The 22,727-nt window shown below is 46.4% G+C and overlaps 1 pseudogene, besides 1 other annotated feature; it reads left to right on the top strand.

The window, feature by feature from the left end:
- On the top strand, positions 6,658-7,557 carry OR7E158P (olfactory receptor family 7 subfamily E member 158 pseudogene; annotated as a pseudogene).
- Positions 15,910-16,410: an enhancer, noted in NCBI's record as "H3K4me1 hESC enhancer chr8:11768552-11769052 (GRCh37/hg19 assembly coordinates)". NCBI's record gives its function as "activates a minimal SCP1, AML or CMV promoter by ChIP-STARR-seq in naive H9 embryonic stem cells {active_cell/tissue: H9 hESC(naive)}" and the evidence as "EXISTENCE:reporter gene assay evidence [ECO:0000049][PMID:30033119]".

Genomic DNA, 22,727 nt, shown 5'->3' with positions numbered 1-22,727 from the left:
GGTTCTCCATATTGGTTAGGCTTGTCTTGAAGTCCCTACCTCAAGTGATCCGCCCGCTTCCACCTCCCAGTGTTCTGGGATTACAGGCGGGAGGGACCGCACCCAGCCACCACTTAGCATTTTCATTTTACATTTGTTGAAATTATAGATTTATACACACATTGATTGCTGCTTTGTTATACACTTGCATATACATAAGATGGGAAATAGAAAAGAATAAAATGGGCACAGTATCCCTGAAGTTTCACATTCCGAGACAAGTTAAAAATATTTGCTTTTTAGAAATTTGTTTCAATTGAGAAACTGTGGTATACACACACAATGAAGTATTATTCAGGCTAAAAAGGAATAAATAAAATTCTCTCCACTGCAGACAAAATGGATGAGATTGCAGGTCTGTATATGAAGTGAAATAAGCCAGGCACAGAATGACAACTATTTCATGTCCTCACTTCTATGTAGGATCAAAAAAGAAAATCTTGGCCAAGTGTGGTGGCTCAGGCCTGTAATCCCAGCACTCTGGGAGGCCGAGTCGTACGGATCACTTGAGGCCAGGAGTTCGAGACCCACCTGGCCAACATGGTGAAACCCTGTCTCTACTGAAAACACAAACAATTAGCCAGGCGTGGTGACGCATGCCTGTAGTCTCAGCTACTCGGAGGGCTGGGGCCCAAGAAGCGCTTGAACTCGGGAGGCGGAGCTTGCAGTGAGCCCGGATTGTGCCTGTGTACTCCAACCTGGGCAACAGAAAGAGACTCCATCACACACCTACACACAAAAGGAATCTCAGGAAGGTGGAGAGTATAAAGGGGGTTAGCAGATGCTAGGAAGAAAAGGGGTGGGATGGGGAATGAAGACAAGTGGATAATTGGGTCCCAAAATACAGAAAGATGGAATAAGTGAGTTCTAGTGTTTGATAGTACAGTATGAAAATTTTAGTTCACAAGAATTGCTTGCATATTTCCAGATGCTTTGGTAAGAAGCTTCCTCATTTTCTCATTATGCTGGTTTTTCAGCTATTCTCTTTCTGCTCTCGATATCGTGCTGGATTTTCTGTTTTTGGTTTTTTGTTTTGAGACAGAGTTTCACTTTTGTTGCCCAGGCTGGAGTGTAATGGTGCAATCTTGGCTCACCACAACCTCTGCCTCCTGGGTTCAAGCGATTCTCCTGCCTCCATCTCCTGAGCAGCTGGGGTTACAGGCATGCCCCAGCACGCTCAGCTAATGTTGTATTTGTAGTAGAGACGGGGGTTTCTTCCTGTCTGTCAGGCTGGTTTTGAACTCCTGACCTCAGGTGATCCACCCGCCTCGGCCTCCCAAAGTGCTTGGATTACAGGTGTGAGCAACTGTGCTCGGCCCATGCTGTATCCTTATCTGGTGTCTGTTGTTGTTTGTTTGTTCTGGAGCCCAGAAATAAGTTCTCACCTATATGTTCAAATGATTTTTAACATGAGTGCTAAGAAAACTCATTGGTGGAAAAGCAGCCTTTTCAAGAAATGGTGTTGGAGAAACTTGATTTCCACATGCAGAAGAATGAAGGTGGACCCTATGTCACACCAGGTGCAAAAATTAACACAAACTGGGTCAAAGCCCTAACCCCAAGTGCTGAAAGTATAATATGCCTAAAAGAAAACATTGGCCACGCTTTCATGACATCAGATTGGGCAATGCTGTCTGGGATATGACACCAAAAGCATAGGCAACAAAAGAAAATTAGATTCCTTGGATTACATCTAAATGACAGACACTTTTGTGCATCAGCAAACACTGTGAACTGTGAAAAGATAACCCATGGATTAGGAAAAATATTTGCAAATCATATCTCTGAAAAGAGGCTGATATGCGTCATATACAAAGAACAGCTAGAACTGAACAACAAGAAACTCAAAGCATCCCATTAACAATGGTCAGAAGACTCGAGTAGACACGTCGTTAAGAAGATATAGCAATAGCCAGTAAGCATCTAAAATGATATTCAAAATCACTCATCATAGGGAAGTGCAAATCAAACCAAGAATGTGATACCACACATTAGGATGGATATGATAAACAAACAAGCATTGGTGAGACGAGAGGGAAGTAGGAATGCTCGAATCTGATTGGAGGGAATGTAAAACCATGAAGGAACAGGGAAAATAGTATGGTGTATACTGGAAAAAGTAGAAACAGGATTATCAGATGTTCCCGCTGTTGCACTTGTGGGCACCTGCCAAAAGAATTAGAAGCCAGGAGTGGAAGAGAGATTTGTACACCCAAATTCATAGCAGCATTATTCACAAGAGCCAAAATGTGGAAGCAACCCAAGGGTTTGTGGACAGTTGAATGAAAAAGCACACTGCAGTTCCTTCATACAATGGAAGACTATTCTGCCTTAAAAAGGCAGGCACTTCTGTCCGGTGCGGTGGCTCACGCCTGGAATCCCAGCATCGTGGAAGACCGAGGTGGGTGGTTCACCTGAGGTCAGGAATTCAAGACCAGCCTGGCCATCTTGGTGAAACCCTGTCTCTACTGAAAATGCAAAAAATTAGATGAGCGTGGTAGCCTGTGCCTATAGTCCCAGCTACTCGGGAGGCTGAGGCACAAGAATCGCTGGAACCCGGGAGGTGGAGGTTGCAGTGAGCCCAGATTGTGCCACTACACTCCAGCCTGTGCGACAGAGTGAGACTCCATGTAAACACAAAACAAAACAAAACCAAAAAAAAAAAAGAAAAAAAAAACACCCAAACAACCAGACAGGCACTTCTGACACAGGATGCAACACGGATGAACCTTGAAGACATTCTCATCAGTGAAATAAAGAAATCCCAAAAGGATAAACACGACCAGGCTCAGTGGCTCGCACCTGTAACCCCAGCACTTTGGGAGGCTGAGGCAGGCGGATCACTTAAGGTCAGGAGTTCGAGACCAGCCTGGCCAATATGGTGAAAGCTTGTCTCTATTAAAAATACAAAAATTAGCTGGGCATGGTGGCGCACGCCTGTAATCCCAGCTACTTGGGAGACTGAGACACAAGAATCGCTTGAACCCACGATGTGGAGGTTGCAGTCAGCCCAGACCACGCCACTGCACTCCAGCCTGGGCAACAGAGAAAGACTCTGTCTCCAAAACAAACAAACCAAAAAAATTAAACACGGTATGATTCCACTTATATCACGTGTCTACAGTAGCTAAACTTATAGAGTTGCAAAATAGAATGGTGGCCCCCAGGGGTGGGCGAGAGAGAGAGGAATGGAGAGTTTGGTTAATGGGTGCAATTTCCATTTTCAACAAGAAAACTGTTCTGGAGATGATGGCGGTGTTGGTTGCTAAACAATGCGAATGTACCTAATGTGATTAAACTATAAACTGAAAAACAGTGGAAATTGTAAATGTTTATACTGGCCATTCTATATGAAATAATCTATATTTATAATTTTTAGCATTTATACATGGTATATTTTCCCATAATAAAAGATGAAAATTAAAGCACTTGGATCTTGTAAAAGAAAAGAAAGAAGCAAATAATACACACAAGCTCTCTCCTGATTAGAGGAAGAGCCCCAAAGCTTCTATGGACACTCGCTTTTCTCTTCTTCTTCTTGCATGATGATGAGGAAATCCTTAGAGCTTGGGGAACTTGGGCGACTCTGGCTAATGAGGGGCTCTGTGCCTTGAGCCCCCCAGGCCATAGAATAGTAAATACTCAGTCTGTGCCTCCAGCCCTGCAGTGTGAGGTTGCAGTCCTGTGGGCTCCACAACCGTCACCTGTATCGGGAGGCTCATGTCTCACCCTGTCTTCTGGCCAGCCTTGAGGACGGAGTCTGAGCCTCCAATGTGCACCATGCAGGGAGAACAGTGGACCTGTTCTCAGTGGTCGTGGCCTAGCAGAGGGGAAGGGCAGTTCAGTGAGTGCTGAGGGACAGTCGGGAGCCTTGTTTGTTTCCTCATCCTCAGGACAAACAGGACAGTGCGGTGGGAAGACGGGAGGAGACGAATGTGCAAACTGTCAGCTCAGCAGACTGTGGAGTTCCTGTTCTTGCTTGTGGTGGGGGTTCTCTCTCAGGAATCTTCTTCAAAATTTTGCTTCCCTCCCCCATTGGTTGTCCTTTTCATAGACATCTCACCCATGATAGCAGGGAATGAGTCCCTCTAAACTGTTCCCTCAGAACAACAAAAAGATGATGAAGGTGATGATGAGGATAAAGAGGATGATGACAGACACCATGGCATCATGAACCCTTACTGAGGGCTTCCTAAAGGCCAGGCTCTGAGCTCTGTGTTCTATGCAGCTTGTTGAAGCTTGTTTCATTTCATCTGCGTAGTCTCCCAGTTATTAGTGCACATTTCATGATGATTTTACAGACTAGAAAAGGAGCAACATATTTTGTTACAACTTGTACCAGATCATGACGTCAAAAAGGGTGAAGCCCAATTTGAACCAGGCAGTCTAAGTCCAGACACATGGCATTTGGCCAGTCCTCTCCCTGCATCCAACCTGCCCTCTCAAATCCTTGTCACTCAGGCCGATGTCCCTGCTCACTGTGCCCTTCCCTTTGGGGGTTCCTTGTAGATCACAGCTAGACCAGTGGGTGCCACAATCACTGTGTCAAGAATGGAAAGGGCAGCTGAGATCACATCGAGGATTCCAGGAATAATTGGCACAGGATCATTCAGGATGCATCTCTCCCTTGCCCTGTTCCTAGCTTTCCTTACAGCTCTCGACTTCCTCAAAGGAGTCATCAATTCGGGGTTTGGCTTCCATTCTTATTGAGGAAGCTGGGAAGTGTTTCAAAAATGCTCCTCTGATATGCTTGTGGTTAAGACCTCTGAGCTCTGTTGAAAACTTTTGGAAGCTGGGCGCGGTGGCTCACGCCTGTAATCCCAGCACTTTGGGAGGCTGAGGCAGGCGAATCACAAGGTCAGGTGTTCGAGACCAGCCTGGCCAACATGGTGAAACCCCGTCTCTCCTAAAAAGAGAAAAATATTAGCCGGGCGTAGTGGCAGGCCCCTGTCATCTCAGCTACTCGGCAGGCTGAGGCAAGAGAATAGCTTGAACCTGGGATGCGGAGGTTGCAGTGAGCCGAGCTCACTCCACTGCACTCCAGCCTGGCAACAGAACGACTCCATCTCAAAATAAAAAACAAAAACAAAAACAAAAAAGAACCCAAACATTTTGAGGGTTGGGAGACCATCAAGTATATTGCCCGGGACTTAGAGTCTGGCCATTAATTTTCAATACCACCCTTTCTGCTTATCTGTATGGCAAAGGGTGAGACGTCCATCCTCTGAGATTCAGCACTCTCATCTGAGTTGATTTCTAGTTGATCCAATGGAAGTGAGCAATGATTAAACCGATCGTGGATGCCCGCTGCGTGATCTCTATGTGATGGACGCGTAAAGTAAAGGCAAAGTGAATTTTAGATACATTCGTTAATATTTTAAGCTTAAACTCCATACGGTTCAACAGAAATATCCCCTGACCTGAAGTTCTGGTTTCCCTGCATTCCAGACAGGACATTTTGTTTTTTCCTTCTCTCAGTAAGGACTGAGTACTGTGAGAGGAACAAGTGAGTCTCTTTTGTTTCTGATTCCCCAGAGCCTATATCTTGCTTGGCACATAGGAGACAGCAAAAGGAAACGCCTATGTGAATTATTGAATTGACACTTCCTTGGTTCACAAAAATTGGCTGTCATCAGTGTGACGTCAGTGTGACAGAGCGTGTGTTTTTGGTTTTTTGTTTTTTGAGACAGAGTTTTGCTCTTGTTGCCCAGGCTGGAGTGCAGTGGTGTGATCTCGGCTCACTGTAGCCTCTGCCTCCCAGGTTCAAGCCATTCTCCTGCCTCAGCCTCCCGAGTAGCTGGGACTATAGGCGCGCGCCGCCATACCGGGTGACATTTTTGTATTTTTAGTAGAGGCGGGGTTTCACCATGTTGGCCAGGATGGTTTTGATCTCCTGACCTGGTGATCCACCCTCCTCCGCCTCCCAAAGTGCTGGGATTACAGGCATGAGCCACGGAGTCCGGCCCAACTTTCCGATGAGAACTCTAAGTCCACCTAAGCTGAGGACAGGAGTTATAGCTTACATGAATTTTAACACAAGACGCACCGATTTGAGTAAGCAATTACTCTCGGGAAGGAGAAAAGTCAGAAAACATAATGATGAAATCACTAGGACCTAACTGGCATATGGAAATATTTTCTGCTTAGGAACTACCAACTGTAATTTCATTTCCAGATGGCATGGTCTCAGCTGTTATACAGTGTTTATAAATGTTCTAAATCGGAATTTGTATCAATCTATTCGAATCAAATAAAATATTTGAGTTCTTAATTTCCTTTAATTAGGATAACCATTTTCTTAAAGTGAAGAGAATGGTTTTATTACATATTTTTCTTCGGAAAAGATAGGCTGTATTTTCTAGCAATTATGAATTTGTTCTATATGACGATCTGGTTCTTGGAGCATTCTTGAATCTAGTATCTCTAAGGCAGGTGTGTACAGCAAGAAGTGAATAACACAGAAATCAATGATGAAAGCATTAGAAGACAATTGAGTTTGTCAGAACTGCAAAATATTGCTGAGTGTGGATTGCTCTGAAATCTGAAAACATTACTTGTGAATTGCTTCTATCCAAAATGCAGACACAATGCTGGGTGTTGGTTTAGTTGTTTCCGATTTTTCAACCCTCTTTTCTAGGCAAAAGCTGTCCAAACTCTACAGACCCACAGAATCTAACAGATGTCTCTCTATTCCTCCTCCTAGAACCTCACAGGATCCAGAACTGCAGCCGGTCGTCACTGGGCTGTTCCTGTCCATGTGCCTGGTCACTGTGCTGGGGAACCCGCTCATCCTCCTGTCTGTCAGCCCTGAGTCCCACCTCCACACCCCCATGTACTTCTTCCTCTCCAACCTGTCCTTGCCTGACATCGGTTTCACCTCCACCGCGGTCCCCAAGATGATTGTGGACATCCAATCTCACAGCAGAGTCATCTCCTATGCAGGCCGTCTGACTCAGATGTCTCTCTTTGCCATTTTTGGAGGCATGGAAGAGAGACATGCTCCTGAGTGTGATGGCCTATGACCGGTTTGTAGCCATCTGTCACCCTCTATATCATTCAGCCACCATGAACCCGTGTTTCTGTGGCTTCCTACTTTTGTTGTCTTTTTTTTTTTTCTCGGTCTTTTAGAAGTGCAGCTGCACAACTTGATTGCCTTACGAATGAACTGCTTCAAGGATGTGGAAATTCCTAATTTCTTCTGTGACCCTTCTCAACTCCCCCATATTGCATGTTGTGACACCTTCACCAATAACATAATCATGCATTTCCCTGCTGCCATATTTGGTTTTCCTCCCATCTCGGGGACCCTTTTCTCTTACTCTAAAATTGTTTTCTCCATTCTGAGGGTTTCATCATCAGGTGGGAAGTATAAGGCCTTCTCCACCTGTGGGTCTTACCTGTCAGTTGTTTGCTGATTTTATGGAACAGGCGTTGGAAGCTACCTCAGTTCAGATGTGTCATCTTCCCTGAGACAGGGTGCAGTGGCCTCAGTGATGTACACGGTGGTCACCCCCATGTCACCCTCTGTGACATTAGGAGTAGCATCTTTCTAAAATATTATGAATAATTTCGAAAAATGTACACCCCCTGTGACATTAGAAGTAACATCGCCCGAGGATATAAGAAATAATATCAGATTGTGTACCTGCATTGTGAGATCAGTAGTAACATCCCTTTAGGGCACTACGAATATTATCAGAGTGTGAAGACCTTCTGTGACATTAGGAGTAACATCACCCTACAATATTGGGAATAATACCCCACGATGTACACCACCTGTGACATTGGTGGTAACATTTCTTTAGGATATTACGAATAGTATGACAGGGTGTACAGCCCCTGTGATATTAGGAGTAACATATCTGAAAAAACTTTACAAATAATATCACTGATTGTACACCACGTGTGACATTAGGAGTAACATCCCCCGAAACGATTATGAATAACTTCACAGATTGTACACCCTCTGTGATATTAGAAGTAAACATCTTTCTAGAATGTGAAGAATACCATCGCAGGGTGGACACCCCCGTGACATGAGGAGTAACATCACTCTAGGATATTAGGAATAATATAACAACGTGTACACAATTTGTATGGTAGGAGTAACGTCCGCCTGGGATACTAGGAATCATAGCACAGAAAGCACACCCCCTGTGACAATAGGAGTCACATCCCCTTAGGATATTACGAATAATATCACAAGGTGTACACGCACTGTGACATTAGTAACAATAACCAGCTAGTAGACTGTGAATAATATCACAGCGTGCACAGATTGGTGACATTAGGAGTAACGTCCCCCTAGAATATTACGAATAATATCACAGGGTGTACACACCCTGTGACTTTAGGGTAATCATCACCCTGGATTACTACAAATAATTTCACAGGATGTTAAACCCCTGTGACAATAGGAATAATATACTTCCACGATATGACGAATAATATCACAGTGTGTACACCCACTGTGATATTAAAAGTTATCCCTCCCTCAGATATTGTGAGTAATATCACAGGGAGTACACCATGTGTTCACACCCACTGTGATTTTTAAAGTACTATCTCCTTAGGATATTACAAATAATTTCAAGGGGTGTACACACCCCATGACATTAAGATAGCATCCCTTTAGGATATTCAAAATAATATCCCAGGGTGTACACCCCATGTGACATTGCTAGTAACATCTTCCTAGGATATTACCAATAAGATCCCACGGTTGACACCCTCTGTGATTTTAAAAGTAAAATCCCCCTAGAATATTGCTAATCGTAACACGGGGTGTACACCCCATGACGTTAGGAGTAACGTCCCCCCAGGATATTACAAATAATATCACAAGGTGTACACACATGGTGACATTCGTAGTAATCTCCCGTTAGTATATTGTGAATACTATCACAGGGTATACACACCTGTGACTTTAGGAGTAACATCCCCCTACAATCTTGGGAACAATATCACACAGTGTACACCCCTGTAACGTTAGGAGTAACATCCCCCCTGAATATTGCTAATAATATCACAAGGTGTACACGTATTGTGACATTAGTAGTAATATCCTGCTAGCATATTTTCAAAACTATCACAGAAGGAACACACCTGTGACATTAAGAGTAACATCCCCATAGAATAGTAAGAATAATATCACGGGGTGTACACCCCCAGTGACATTAGGACCCCTGTGGCATTAGGAGTAACATCTTTCTAGAATATCACGAATAATATCACAATGTCTACAACCCTGTGTCATTGAAAGTAAAATTGCCCTAGGATATTACGAAATAGAACACAGGGAGTACAAGCGTGTGACATTAGAAGGAACATCCCCCGAGGATATAACGAATAATATCAGAGAATGTACCTGCATAGGGACATCAGTAGTAACATCTCTTCAGGATAATACGAATAATATCAAAGGATGTACACGCATCGTGAAATGAGTAGTGAACACCAGCTAGCATGTTATGAATTTTATGACAGGGTCTACACGCCCTGTGACATTAGCAGTAACGTTTTCCTAGACTATTACGAAGAATATTAAAGGGTGTACAGAACCTGTGATTTACGAGTAACATTTCTATAGAATATTGCACGTAATATCACTGTGTGTACACCCCGTGTGACCTTAGGGGTAACATCCCACAAAATTATAACGAATAATTTCACAAGGTGTACACCCTCTGTGACATTAAAAGTAACAATTCCCTAGAAAATGACGATAATATCACAGAGTGTACGCCCTCTGTGATATGAGGAGTGACATCTTCTAAGGATAATACGAGTAATTTGACAAAGTGTACAAACCCTGAGACACAAGGAGTGACATCCCTCCAGGATATGATGAATAATATCAAAGGGAACATATCCAGTGTGACAATAAAAGTAACCTCCCCTTAGGAGATTAAGAAAAACACCACAAGGTGCACACACATTGTGACATCATTACTAACATTCCCCTAGGATATTGGGAATAACATCACAGTGTGTAGAGTCCTGTGACATCTGGATGAACATTCCCCTACAATATGACAAATAATATCGCAGGGTGTCTATCCCCTGTGACTTTAGTAGTGGTAACTCGCTAGAATATGGAAAATAATGTACCAGGTTGTTAACCAAGTGTGGCAGTAGAGAAAAGATCATAAGAATACTTGAGTAATATCATCCCCCTCTCCCCCCCCTGGATATTACGATCCACATCGCAGGGGGGCGGAGACGCCCCCCGCGATGCGGGGAGTAATATCACCCCCTCTCCACCCTGGATATTACGATCCACACCGCAGGGGTGGGGGAGACACCCCCCGCGATGCAGGGAGTAATATCACCACCCTCCCCACCCCCGGGTATTACGATCCACACCGCAGGGGGTGGGGGAGACACCCCCCGAGATGCAGGGAGTAATATCACCACCCTCTCCCCGCCCTGGGTATTACGATCCACACCGCAGGTGGGCGGAGACCGTCCCTGCGATGCGGGGAGTAATATCACCCCCCTCTCCCCCACTGGATATTACGATCCGCACCGCATGGGGGGAGGAGACGCCCCCCGCGATGAGGGGAGTAATATCTCCCCCCTCTCCCGCCCTGGATATAACGGTCCACGGTGGTCACACCGCTTGTGGACGTTATTGTCAGTAATATCTTCTCCACCTCTGGAAATTACCAACTATATCACAGACGGGTGTGCATCTTCTGCACTAGTTGCAGTAATAGCATCCTCTTCTCCCTCGATATTAAGAACAATATCACAGGATTGTTTTTACCCCCAGCGGCATTGGGTTTGGTATCATCCTCTCCCACGTTGAAATTAGGAGGAATATCACTGGGGGCGTGTCCACCCCATGCGATATTGATAGTAGCATCATCCTCTTCTCTCCTGGATCACGGGAGCAATGTCACTGGGGTGGTGTACACTTTCTGCGGTATTGGGAGTAAGATCATCCTCTCCGCCTTGAAATATGAAGGACCATATCACAGGGGGGCTGTACACACCCTGTGCTGTAAGAAGAATGTTATGCTCTCCCGCCCTGCACATTAGAAAACATATCGCAGAGTGGGTGTACTCCTCCTGTGATATGGGAGGTAATATCATCTTCTCTTCTTCTGGATAGTAGGAACAATATCACAAGGGTTCGTACACTTTCTGTGGTATTGGGAGTAATATCAACCTCTCTGTCTTTGAATATTAAGAACAATATCACAGACTGGATGTACACCCCCTGCGATATTGGGAGTCATATCAGCCTCTCCTTTCCATGGATATTAGGAATAATATCCCAGAATGGGTGTACACCTCCTGCTGTATGGGAAGTCATATCGTCCTCTCCCTTCCTGGCTACTAGGAACAATATCAGAGGGTGGGTGTACACAGCCTGCGATATTGTGAGTAATATCACCCTCTCCCCCTCCGGATATTAGGAACAATATCACAGAAGGGGTGTACACTTTCTGCGATACTGGAAATCACAGCATTCTCTTCTTCCGTGAATATTAGGAGCAATATCACCGGGTGGATGTACACCCACTGCTCTATTGGGAGTGACGTCATACTCCACCCCCTGGAGATTATATTCGGATCAATATCACCGGTTGTGTGTACACCTAATGCGATATTGAACGTAATATCATGATCTCTCCCTCCCTGAACATTAGGAACAATATCACAGGTGGGTGTACACCCACTAAGGTATTAGGTGCAATATTAATATTAATTATTCCTCATTTATTATTCACACGAATATGAATTACCAATAGTAATATGAAGAAATAATTGCCAATAAAACGTTTTCACATTATTAATATTAGTATTATTAATATTAATATCAATCATTAGGAGCTAATATTACTCTTTTCTAATGAATAAGGTCGATATCGGTTATGAATATCAGGCGTTATTAATCATTAATATTTCTCATTTATTGTTATCATTAGCACAAGTATTTAATATTAATTTTCATTATTATGGATATTGATTTTAAAAATTATATTATCAGTTATTAATATTGATAATTACAATTAATATCAATTACTAATAATTATTAGTATTAATAGTTGATATTATTGATTGATATTATTTATTCATAATTGATATTATTGCGATAAGTAATATTGCGCCATTCCACACAGTATCACAGAAAACATATACGCCCCCTGTGATGTTGTTCCTAACAGCCAAGGGTAGACGATGCCATTACGCCAAATAACGCACCGGGTGGGCCTCCCTTCTGTGATCTTGTTGCTAATATCCGGGCACGGAGAGGACGGTATTAATCCCAATAATCCAGAACGTGTAGACCTCCCTTGTGTTATTGTCCCTAATATCCAAAGGTGGAGAGGAAGATGTACCTCCGAATTTCGCAGGGGTTGTACACCACCCCTGTGACATTGCTCCTAATGTCCAGGGGTAGAGAAAATGACATGACTCACAATATGGCAGGGGGTGAACACCCCCTTCATGATATTGTTCCTAATATTCAGGGGGGAAGAGTATGATATTCCTCCCAATATCACAGGGGGTGTACTCCCCATATCCCAGAGGGTGGATAGTATCCCGATCTGTGATAGACTCCTCCACGATGCGGGGAGTAATGTCATCCCCCTCTCCTTCCCTTGCTATTACGATACACATCGCAGCGGGGCGGGCGACCCCCACGATGCGGGGAGAAATATCACCAACCCACCCCCGATAAGACGAGCCACATCGCAGAGGGGTGGACACTCCCAGTGATGCGGGGAGTCATATCTATCCCCTTTCCCCATGGATATAGGAGCCACATCTCAGGGGCGTGGACACGCTCCGCTGATGCGCAGAGTAATATCAACCCCCTTCCCTCCTTGCATGTTAGCAGCCACTGAGGACATACAGTGTATTGACGATATTTCCAGTAAAATCATCTTTTCTAATGAACCTTATGAACAAGAACACAGAGGGGTGTACCCCTCCTGCGATATTGGGGGTAATATCATTCTCTCCTGCACTGTATACTGGGAACAATATCACAGGGGCGTGTATTCCTCCTTCCATATTGGGAGTCATATCATACTTGCCTTCCATATATTAAGAACAATAGCAAAGTGGAGGGGGGTGGACACTTTGACGATATTGGGAGTAACATCATTCTCTCTACCCCTGGATATTAGTAGCAATATCACAGGGGGATGTGCATTTCTTGTGATATCGAGAGTAGTAGTATTGTCTTCCCCGCTGGATATTAAAAACAATACCACAACGGGCGTCAAACCACTTGCCAAATTTGAGGAAATGTTATCCTCTCCGCCCCCCCTCCACCCCCGGATATTAGAGACAATAACACAGGGGTAATGTACACCCACTGCTTGATTGAGAGAAGTATCATTCTCTCCCTTCTTGGATATTAGGAACAATATCACGGGTGTGGGGGGCTGGTGTACTGCCTCTGCGATATTGGGAGTAAAATTATCCTCTCTTCCCCTGGATATTAGGAAGTGTATCAGAGGGGGAGGGTGCACATCCCTGCGATATTCAATGTCATCTTATGCTCTCCCTCGCAGGGTATTAAGGACAATATTACAGGACGGGTGCACACCCTCTGCGATATTGAGAGTCATATCATCCTCTTTCGCTCTGGATATTAGGAACAATATCACAGGGTTGTGTACACCCCCTGCGATATTGGGAGTAATACCATCCTGCCGCCCTGAGGAGAGAAGCCATTTGTCTACTGTCTCCTGTCTCTGAAGAGGAGGAGGAAGTAAAAGTTGAAAAACAACAGGAATGAAGTCAGTGGCAAGACCAGCCGGTGGCACTGATGAGCCGGCCTGAGGTGAAAAGATTAACCCCCGCCCCCCCACTCTAAGCACATGTGCTCTCAATCCATCACGATTCTTTCACGTGGAACCCCTTAGAGTTGTAAGCCCTTAAACGGGCCAGGAATTCTGTCTTCCTTAGGGGAGCTGGGCTCTTAAGACGAGAATCTGCCGACGCTCCCGGCCGAATAAAAAGCCTCTTCCTTCTTGAGTCTGCTGTCTGAGGGGCTTTTCCGTGGCTCCTCCTGCTCCATTTCTTGGTTCCCTGACCGGAAATCAAACCCGGGTAGTGGCAGTGAGAGCGCCAAAGACTAACCACTAGATCACCAGGGGGACCTAGAACCCTGTGGGAAATAGATTGCCCACCATTAGAAGTGGATTGGCCATCAGAAGGAAGCCTGGACAGGTCCCTTGTTTCTGAGGTGTGGCACAAGGTAACTGGTAAAGGATAGCTAGACTAGTTCCCATAAATAGACACTTGGTGACGGCTGGTGCTAGACCCCCAACAGTGGCTGAGAGGGCAGGCAGCAACAATACTAGTACCAAAGGGACAGATGGCTAAGGAAGGATCCCGCTCCACCCGCCCAGGGAAATCAACTCCTCAAGTTCTGTTCGACCCAACATCAAAAGATCCATTGCAGGAGATGGCACCAGTGATCCCAGTGGTGCCCTCCCCTTACCAGGGAAAGAGGCTCCCCACTCTTGAGCCCTCAGTGCTTGCGCCTCCACAAGACAAGCATATCCCCAGGCCACCCAGAATAGACAAGAGAGGAGGTGAAGACTCGGGAGGAACCCCTCCCTTGGCAGCTCGTTTATGGCCCAAAATGGGGATCCAAATGCCCCTGAGAGAGCAGTGGTATACTGGGATAGATGAGGATGGGCACATGGTGGGGAGGCGTGTTTCTGGGTACCAGCCCTTGAGCTCTGCCGACCTTCTCAACTGGAAAAACAATAGCCTGTCCTATACCGAAAAGGCACAAGGTCTAATTGATTTGCTCCAAACTAATATCTGAACACACAACCCCACCTGGGCTGATTGCCACCAGTTGCTCATGTTCCTCTTTAACACAGATGAAAGGCGGAGAGTGCTCCAAGCAGCAACTAAGTGGCTAGAGGAACATGCACCAGCTGATTACCAAAACCCCCAAGAGTATGGAAGGACCCAGTTACCTGGAACCGACCCCCAGGGGGACCCACATGAAAGAGAGGATATGCAAAGGCTAAACCAACAGAGAGAAACTCTCTTGGAAGGATTACAGAGGGGAGCTCAGAAGGCCACAAATGTTAACAAGCTCTCTGAGGTCATTCAGGGAAAAGAAGAAAGTCCAGCACAATTTTAGGAGAGACTGTGTGAGGCCTATGGTATATATACTCCCTTTGATCCTGATAGCCCTGAAAATCAGCGCATGATTCACATGGCTTCAGTCCGTCAAAGCGCAGAAGACATGAGAAGAAAACTGCAGAAACAGGCTGGGCTTGCAGGGATGAATCCATCCCAATGATTATATGGTATGAGGCCACCACTTCTCCTGTTGTCCTTCCCAGTTTCTCCCCAACCTCCCCTTTTCCCTAGTTTATAAGACAGGAGAAAAGGGAGAAAGCAAAAAGTTGGAAATAGAAGTAAGATAAATAGCTAGATGACCTTGGCGCCACCTCCTGGCCCTGGTGTTTAAAATAATAATATTATTAACCCCTGACCAAAACTACTGGTGTTATCTGTAAATTCCAGACGTTGTATGAGAAAGCACTGTAAAACTTTTTGTTCTGTTAGCTGATGTATGTAGCCCCCAGTCATGTTCCTCATACTTACTTGATCTATTATGACGTTTTCACATAGAACCCTGAGAGTGGTAAGCCCTTAAAAGGGCTAGGAATTTCTTTTTCAGGGAGCTCAGCTCTTAAGACACGAGTGTGCTGACACTCTTGGCCAAATAAAAAAACCTCTTCCTTCTTTAATCCAGTGTCTGAGGAGTTTTGTCTGCGACTCGTCCTGCTACATTTCATGGTTCCCTGACTGGGAAGCGAGGTAACTGACGGAGAGTCGAGGCAGCCCCTTAGGCGGCTTAGGCCTGCCCTGTGGAGCATCCCTGCGGGGGACTCTGGCCAGCTAGAGCAACGCACATGCAGAGAGCACTGCCGGGTAGGCAATTGCCCGGGTGGAACGCCTCGTCAGAGCAGTGTGTGGTAGGCCCCTGTGGAGGATCAACGCAGTGGCTGAACACCAGGAAGAGGCACTTGGAGTCTGGACATTTGAAACTTGGTAAGACTGGTCTTTGGAACTTGCCCACTCCATTTGAGTGGAAGCGTGGCCTGATCACCCATGGCGTGCCTGTACTGGCACTTTGGTTTTTGTTTTTGATTTGACTTGAATTACTTGATACTTTGGTTTTGGTTTGACGTGGCTTGGATTTCTGGATACTCTGATTTTGGTTTTGATTCTGGTTTTGTGAAAACTGAAAAAGCGTGTGTGTGCCCTTTTTACCCATTCTTTGTTCTGTGGTGTGCGTGTGGTGTGAGCTTGGTGTTCTGTCTCGAGGAAACGTGGGTCAGACACAAAGTAAGCCTACTCCGCTAGGAACTATGTTGAAAAATTTTAAGAAGGGATTTAATGGAGACTATGGGGTTACTATGACACCAGGGAAACTTAGAACTTTGTGTGAAATAGATTGCCCAGCTTTAGAAGTGGGTTGGCCATCAGAAGGAAGCCTGGACATGTCCCTTGTTTCTAAGGTATGGCACAAGGTAACTGTTAAGTCAGGACACTCAGACCAGTTTCTAAACATAGACACTTGGTTACAGCTGGTGCTAGACCCCCCACAGTGGCTGAGAGGGCAGGCAGCAGCAGTGCTAGTAGCAAAGGGACAGATAACCAAGGAAGGATCCCGCTCCACCTGCCCAGGGAAATCAACTCCGGAAATTCTGTTCAACCCAACATCAGAAGATCCATTGCAGGAGATGGCACCAGTGATCCCAGTGGTGCCCTCCCCTTACCAGGGAGAGAGGCTCCCCACTTTTGAGTCCACAGTGCTTGCGCCTCCGCAAGACAAACATATCCCTAGGCCACCCAGAGTAGACAAGAGAGGAGGTGAAGCCTCGGAAGAAACCCCTCCCTTGGCAGCTCGTTTAAGACCCAAAATGGGGATACACATGCCCCTGAGAGAGCACCAGTATACTGGGATAGATGAGGATGGGCACATGGTGGGGAGGCGTGTTTCTTTGTTCCAGCCCTTCACCTCTGCTGACCTTCTCAACTGGAAAAACAATACCCCGTCCTATACCGAAAAGCCACAAGCTCTGATTGATTTGCTCCAAACTATTATCCAGACCCATAACCCCACCTGGGCTGATTGCCACCAGTTGCTCATATTCCTCTTTAACAGAGATGAAAGGCAGAGAGGGCTCCACGCAGCAACTAAGTGGCTAGAGGAACATGCACCGGCTGATTACCAAAACCCCCAAGAGTATGGAAAGACCCAGTTGCCAGGAACCAACCCCCAATGGGACTCAAATGAAAGAGAGGATATGCAAAGGCTAAGCTGAGACAGGGAAGCTCTCTTGGAAGGATTACAGAGGGGAGCCCAGAAGGCCAACAAACGTTAACAAGGTCTCTGAGGTCATTCAGGGAAAAGAAGAAAGTCCAGCACAATTCTAGGAGAGACTGTGTGAGGCCTATTGTATGTATACTCCCTTTGGTCCCGATAGCCCTGAAAATCAATGCATGATTCACATGGCTTTAGTTAGTTAAAGCGCAGAAGACATGAGAAGAAAACTGCAGAAAAAGGCTGGGTTTGCAGGGATGAACACATCACAGTTATTAGAAATAGCTAACCAGGTGTTTGTAAACAGGGACACAGTAAGTCATAAGGAAAACCTCAGAGAGAATGAATGTCAGGTCCGGCAAAACGCCGACCTGTTAGCTGCAGCAATCAGAGGGGTCCCCCCAAAGAGGCAAGGGAAGGGGGGCCCCGGGAAAGAAACTCAGCCTGGCTGTCAGAGATTGCAGCTTAATCAGTGTGCTGATTGTAAAGAAATAGGACATTGGAAGAACAAATGCCCTCAGCTGAAAAGAAAACCAGGTGACTCAGAGCAGGAGGCCCTGGACAAGGAGGAAGGGGTCCTGCTCAACCTGGCAGAAGGTTTATTGGACTGAGGGAGACTGGGCTCAAGTGTCCCCAAAGACTCGCTGGTCAGAATGACAGTTGGGGGTAGAGACATTGATTTTCTTGTAGATACCGGTGCTGAACATTTGCTTGTAACCACCCCAGTCGCCCCCTTATCCAAAAAGTCTATTGACATCATCAGAGCCATGGGGATTTCAGCAAAGCAAGCTTTCTGCTTGCCTCGGACTTGTGCTGTAGGAGGACCTAAAGTCATTCAGCAGTTTTTGTCCACGCCTGACTGTCCCTTGCGCTTGTTGGGAAGAGACTTGCTTAGCAAGCTGAGAGCCACTATCTCTTTTACAGAGCACAGCTCTTTGCTGCTAAAGTTACCCAGAATGGGAGCCATTATGACCCTTACTGTCCCCCGACAGGAGGAATGGAGACTTTTCTTAACTGAGCCGGGCCAAGAGAGAAGACCAACTCTGCTTAAGCGGTGGCCAAGAGTATGGGTGGGACACAACCCTCCAGGGTTGGCAGTCAACCCAGCCCCCATACTCATAGAAGTGAAGCCTGGGGCCCAGCTGGTTACGCAAAAACAGGACCCGATCCCCAGAGAAGCTCTTCAAGGTATCCAGGTCCATCTCAATCACCTAAAAACTTTTGGAATTAGAGTTCCTTGTCAGTCTCCACGGAACACTCCCCTCCTGCCTGTTCCCAAGCCAGGGACCAAGGACTACAGGCCGGTACAGGATTTGTGCTTACTTCTTCAAGCTACACTGACTTTACATCCAACAGTACCTAACCCATCCACAGTGTTGGGGTTACTGCCAGCTAAGGACAGCTGGTTCACCTGTTTGGACCGGAAAGATGCTTTCTTTCATATCAGATTAGCCCCTGAGAGCCAGAAGCTGTTTGCCTTTCAGCGGAAAGATCCAGAGTCAGGTGTGACTACTCAGTACACTTGCACCCGGCTTCCCCAAGGGCTCAAGAACTCTGCCATCATCTTCGGGTAGGCGTTGGCTCGTGACCTCCAGAAATTTCCCACCACAGACGTAGACTGCATGTGGCTCCAGTAGATTGATGCCCTTTTGCTGGGACACCCCATGGCAGTCAGGTGCACCAAGGGAACAGATGCCCTACACCGGCACCTGGTGGACTGTGGGTAGAAGGTGTCCAAGAAGAAAGCTCAGATCTGCTGACAGCAGGTACATTACTGGGGATTTACTATCTGACAGGGGGAACACAGCCTGGGATCAGAAAGAAAGCAGGTCATTTGCAATCTACCGAAGCCTAAGAGCAGAAGGGAGGTGAGAGAATTCTTAGGAGCTGTGGGGTTTTGTAGACTGTGGATCCCAAACTTTGCAGTATTAGCCAAGCCTTTGTATGGGGTCACAAAGTGGGCAGGTACCAGGAACCTTTGGAATAGGGATCCCTACAATGGCAAGCCTTTCATGACCTAAAGGAAAAACTTATGTCAGCCCCAGCCCTGGGGCTACCCGATCTGACAAAGCCTTTTCCATTGTATGTGTCAGAGAGAGAAAAGATGGCAGCTGGACTTTTCACCCAAACTGTGAGGCCCTGGCTGAGGCTGGTGGCCTACCTCTCTAAACAACTAGACGGGGTTTCTAAAGGATGGCCCCCGTGTTTGAGGGCCTTGGCAGCAACTGCCCTGCTAGTACCAGAAGCAGATAAGCTGACTCTTGGGCAAAACCTGAACATAAAGGCCCCCCATGCTGTGGTGACTTTAATGGATACTAAAGGACATCATTGGCTAACGAATGCTAGACTCACCAAGGACCAAACTTTGCTCTGTGAAAATCCCCGTATAACCAGTAAAGTTTGTAACACCCTACACCCCACCACCTTGCTCCCCGTGTCAGAGAGCCCTGTCGAGCCTGATTGTGTAGAAATGTTGGACTCAATTGACTCTAGCAGACCTGACCTCCGGGACCAGGCTTGGGCATCAGTAGACTGGGAGCCATACGTGGATGGGAGCAGCTTCTTCAACCCCCAAGGAGAGAGAGGTGCAGGGTATGCAGTGATAACTCTGGACACTGTTGTTGAAGCCGGATCGTTGCCCCAGGCCACTTCAGCCCAGAAAGCTGAACTCATTGCTTTCATTGGGCCTTAGAACTCAGTGAGGGTGAGACTGTCAACATTTACACTGATTCCCGGTATGTCTTTTTAACCCTTCAAGTGCATGGAGCGTGATAGAAAGAAAAGGGCCTATTGAACTCTGAGGGTAAAGACAGAAAATATCCACAAGAAATCTTGCAATGATTAGAAGCAGTATGGAAACCCCACAAGGTGGCAGTTAGGCATTGCAGAGGACACGAGCGAGCTTCCACCTTGATGGGTTTGGGGAATTCGCATGCTGACTCAGAGGCTCAAAAAGCAGCATCTGTTCAGAGGTACCTTAAACCAAGTCCAAAGTTTGATGTTCCTTGGTCCACCCAGGCAATGAGAACTTTAGCTGATATCCCCCAGAAGGACTGGTATATATCTGGTTTACCTTTACTCTAGAGTTGTGACCTTTTGCAATCCTAGCCTCTTGTAGGGGAAATTTCCTATTCAACTTCCCAACTTTCATGGGCTTAAATATTTATTTCCGTCTGGCGTCATCCATGAGACTGTCAAAGGAAAGTCTAAATTTGTCAGGATCAAAAAGTGCCATCAAGGCAACAATGATTTCCAAATTCTGTTTACATCTCTCAGTTCCTATTTACGTTTCAATTTTGGCCGAATAATTCAGTACTTACGTGGGTAAATCCCCAAACTCCTTCCCGTGGCTGAGCCCTTTCCGGTCACATCTCTGAGCTCTGACTCCATCCTTCCTTAGGCCTGAGCTGCCTGCCACCTCCCAGGCCCCCACTTCTGCCCCCACAGCCAGGAGACTGCCACCAGCCACCCGAGGCCACCCTCTTGGCTCTATCTGCAGCCATGTCTGGCCCGGGCGTCTCTGAGAAGCTCCCAGGCTGGGGCCAATGGGCATGCAGGCAGCGTCATGGGGACACCGTGGGGAGACAGAGGGTGCCAAGGAGTGGGAGATGAAAACAGGAAGGTGGAGGTGATAAGGAGAGAGTTTCAAGGGAACTATAACGTATTTTTAAAAATACCAAGGCTTGGGGAAATCCCGGCCTAAAGAATAGCAGTGCCTGGTCATCAGGATCAAAGCAAAGCTGAAACACCCCTTGGCACAGAGCCGGGAAGAAGAGGCAGCTGTGTGCTGTTGGGAGTGGCTCCTCCAAGAGGTGGGACCATTCGTTCATTCAATCCAACATTGATCGAGGTCTTATTTTTTTTTTATTTTTTTATTTTTGAGACGGAATCTTGCTCTGTCACCCAGGATGGACGGCAGTGGCGTCATCTCCGCTCACTGCAAGCTCCACCTCCTGGGTTCATGCCATTCTCCTCCCTCAGCCTCCTGAGTAGCTAGGACCACAGGTGCCCACCACCATGCCTGGCTAATTTTTTTGTATTTTTACTAGAGACGGGGTTTCATCATGTTAGACACGATGGTCTCGATCTCCTGACCTTGTGATCTGCCTGCCTCGGCCTCCCAAAATGCTGGGATTACAGGAGTGAGCCACCGAGCCTGGCTTCAAGGGCCTATTTTTTTTAGGTTTTGCACAAGCACAAATCTGGCAGGTCCCCCTGGGCCATGGCACCTGGCGAGTACCCAGGTTTATTTTTCCTGGGCATCCCAGGCACACTGCTGCCTCCACACCTTCGTACTCACTTTTCCTCTGCCTGGAGGGCACTTTCAGTTATATCTACACATACCACTCCTTTCCTCCTCTTCTTTAGTAAAATGTCACCTTCCCTGCCCATTCTACTTAAAATTGCAGTGACACCCCACCCCCCCGTCTCCATATCTATCTTCCCAGTCCTGTCCCTAACATTTGGAAAGCCTGGAAATAGATTAAAAATGGGCTGGGAATGGGGGCTCATGCCGGTAATCCCAGCACTTTGGAGGCCGAGGTGGGCAGATCACCTGAGGTCAGGAGTTCAAGACCGGCCTGGACAACATGGTGAAACCCCATCTCTACTAAAAATACAAAAAATTAGAAGGCATGGTGGTATGTGCCTGTAACCCCAGCTACTCCAAAGGCTGAGGCAGGAGAATCGCTTTAACCCGGGAGGTGGAGGTTGCAGTGAGCCGAGATCACCGCACTGCACTCCAGCCTGGGTGACAGAGCAAAACTCTGTGTCAAAAAAAAAAAAAAAAAAAGAGTAAAAATGATGGTTTACCCCCTTTCTCTTCCCACACCCATTTTCATCCTGCACCTCAGTCATACAAGTGAACATCCCAGCTACATCCCCAGGAAACAGTCACCTCTTGACTGTACTTTTGGCTTACAGGTACATTCCACTCTCTCAGGGTCAGACCTATGGGAACACAAACAAGCCCCGAACATGGGTTCAGTGCCATTTGAGCAGGAACTCTTGAGGTCTTGGATAACCAGAGTGAAACCTAGAGAAGGATCTTGGGCTCCCAGGGGCCACATCCCCTTGTCCTGGCAGACTCTTTGCCCTGGAGGGGCTTAGAGAAGGGTGGAGCTTGGGGAAAGGGACCCTCTTACCCAGGTCTAAGGATAGGACTGTCCCTTCCACTTTATTTTTCCCCAAACACTCAACACCGTCGAACATACTATATATTTTAAGTATTTACTTTGTTTATTGTCTGAATGCCTCCAGTAAAATGTAAGTCCCATAGAAGGCAAGGATTTCTGTTTTGTTCACTATTATACTCTCTAAACTTAGTATCTGGCACATAGTAGGTGCTCAATCAATATTT

The sequence above is a fragment of the Homo sapiens genome, chromosome 8 (genome assembly GCF_000001405.40).
Source record: "Homo sapiens chromosome 8, GRCh38.p14 Primary Assembly".
NCBI classification, from domain to species: Eukaryota; Metazoa; Chordata; class Mammalia; order Primates; family Hominidae; genus Homo; species Homo sapiens.
The sequence above is the reverse complement of the archived record's forward strand: the minus strand, read 5'-3'. Positions and strand labels throughout refer to the sequence as shown.